General features: G+C 63.4%; 1 annotated feature.

Moving 5' to 3' along the window:
* Nucleotides 1,683-1,883: a silencer, noted in NCBI's record as "peak7251 fragment used in MPRA reporter construct". NCBI's record gives its function as "represses an SCP1 promoter by STARR-seq MPRAs in K562 erythroleukemia cells {active_cell/tissue: K562}" and the evidence as "EXISTENCE:reporter gene assay evidence [ECO:0000049][PMID:32103011]".

The raw sequence follows: 2,294 nt of genomic DNA, 5'->3' as shown, positions 1-2,294 counted from the left end.
CTGTTGTTTAACATAGTACCAGAAATCCTAGCTAAAGCAATCAGTGCAGCCCCTGATATGGCCCCCAACCCACCCTGCCCCCTACCACCAGCAGTGTCGCCCCCCGCAAATAGCACACCCAACATACCCTAACCGCCCCGCCTCCCCGCACCATGGGCATTACAGCAGCCCATAGCGCCCTCAACCCAAAACCGCCACCCCCCCCCACAGCCGCACAGTGCAGCCCCAGATAGCACACTTAACCCACCTCACTGTTGCCAGCAATACAGTCTGGGATAGTGCCCCCAACCGGCTCCCCGCCAAAGGCAGTGCAGCCCCGGTTTGAGCCCCCAAACCGCCCCCCGCCCCCGGTGCAGGCAGCACAGCCCCAGATAGCACACCCAACCAACCACCCAAGACGGGCAGTGACGCCTGAGATAGGGCTCCCAACCCGTCCCAGGCCACCAGCAGTGCAGCCTGGATGGCGCACTTACCCCAATGCCTTTCTACACTCTGGCTGGCTGCAGTGTCCATCGCTGCCACCAACCACAAACATGGCAAACAGGAAGGATTTTATTCACCGTCGATGCGGCCCCGAGTTGTCCCAAAGCGAGGCTGTGCCCCAAGGTCTATGCAGAGCAGAACGCAGCTCCGCCCTCGCAATGCTCTCCGGGTCTGTGCCGAGGAGAACGCAGCTCCGCCCTTGCAAAGGCACACAGCGCCGGTGCCGGCGTGGCGGAGAAGCGGACAGCGGCGGAGAGGCGGTCGGCGGCGGCGCGGCGGAGAGGCGGTCGGCGGCGGCGCGGCGGAGAGGCGGGCGGCGGCGGCGCGGCGGAGAGGCGGGCGGCGGCGGCGCGGCGGAGAGGCGGGCGGCGGCGGCGCGGCGGAGAGGCGGGCGGCGGCGGCGCGGCGGAGAGGCGGGCGGCGGCGGCGCGGCGGAGAGGCGGGCGGCGGCGGCGCGGCGGAGAGGCGGGCGGCGGCGGCGAGGCGGGCGGCGGCGGCGAGGCGGTCGGCGGCGGCGCGGCGGAGAGGCGGACAGCGGCGGAGAGGCGGACAGCGGCGGAGAGGCGCACAGCGGCGGAGAGGCGCACAGCGGCGGCGAGGCGCACAGCGGCGGCGCAGGCGCGGAGAGGCGCAGGCCCAGGCTCCACTCCCCAGCTGTGAAAGGGTAAGAGCTGAGGGTGGCTGAGACTCGGGGTTGTTCAGGGCGGGGTGGGCTCTGGACCCAGCAGGCCCGGCACCCCGGTCAGGGCTCCAGGGGAGGCCAGGTGGGCGAAGGCCAAGAAGGGGCCGGGGCTGGTCAGGAAGGGCTCCTGGTGACCAGAGCACTTTGCGTGAGCCAGCGTGGGAGGAAGGTGGGCTGGATGAGCCAGGGAGGTGCCGGGAGGGTCCTTGGCAGAGGCGACCACCTCCATCAGCCCCCAGGCCACTGAACCCTGGGTAGCGAGAACCGACAGGGGAGGCTGCAGACAGAGGAGTGGAGGCTCCCCGGCTTTGGGGGCTCTGAGTAGAAGCATCTAGGGGGTCCCTCAAGAGGCCCCCAAACGCTTCCCCATGGTGAGAAAAGAAGGCGCAGAGAGGGGCACGGCGCCGGCGCCAGGGCAGAGGGGCGCACAGCAAGATTTGCTGTGATTTCTTTTATTGCCCCAAGTGTACTTCATCTTGGTAGATTTCTATTGGCTTTAAAAATGTGTGTGTTTTGCTGTTGGGGAGTGGGGTGTTATACGGATGTCACATTTTGCTGGTTGACTGTTCAGATCTTTTGTCAATCCTTGCTCCTTTTCTGCCTAGTTTCACTCTGTCACTTACACTGGAGTGCGGTGGCACGAACATGACTCACTGCAGCCTTGACTTCCTAGGGTCAAGTACTTCCCCTGGCTTAACCTCCTGAGTAGCTGGTACTATAGGTGTGTGCCGGCACACCTGGCTAAATTTAAAATTTTTTGGAGAGATGAGGCCTTGCTATGTTGCCCAGGCTCGAACTCCTGGCCTCAAGCTATCCTTTGTCTTTGCCTCCCAGAGTTCTGGGATTACAGGCATGAGCCGCTGTGCCCGGCCTCTGCCTAGTTTTAATAGTTGCTAAGAGGAGGATGTTGAAGTAGATGTCTTCTTGGTGGGTCAATCCTTTTGTCACTAAGCAGTTGTTATGGTCACTTCCTTTTCACCCCATTGGTGAAGAAGGGGTCCCTGCCCTAAAGTGTAGGAGATGGCTGAACACGACACCTGGCGTGGATGGATGAGATTGACAGCAGTGTTTTAGTCACATATACCCACAGCTCAGAGGAGGACACTGCATGCCACACAGGGTCAGATGG

This window comes from Homo sapiens, chromosome 9 (assembly GCF_000001405.40).
Source record: "Homo sapiens chromosome 9, GRCh38.p14 Primary Assembly".
NCBI lineage: Eukaryota > Metazoa > Chordata > Mammalia > Primates > Hominidae > Homo > Homo sapiens.
The sequence above is the reverse complement of the archived record's forward strand: the minus strand, read 5'-3'. Positions and strand labels throughout refer to the sequence as shown.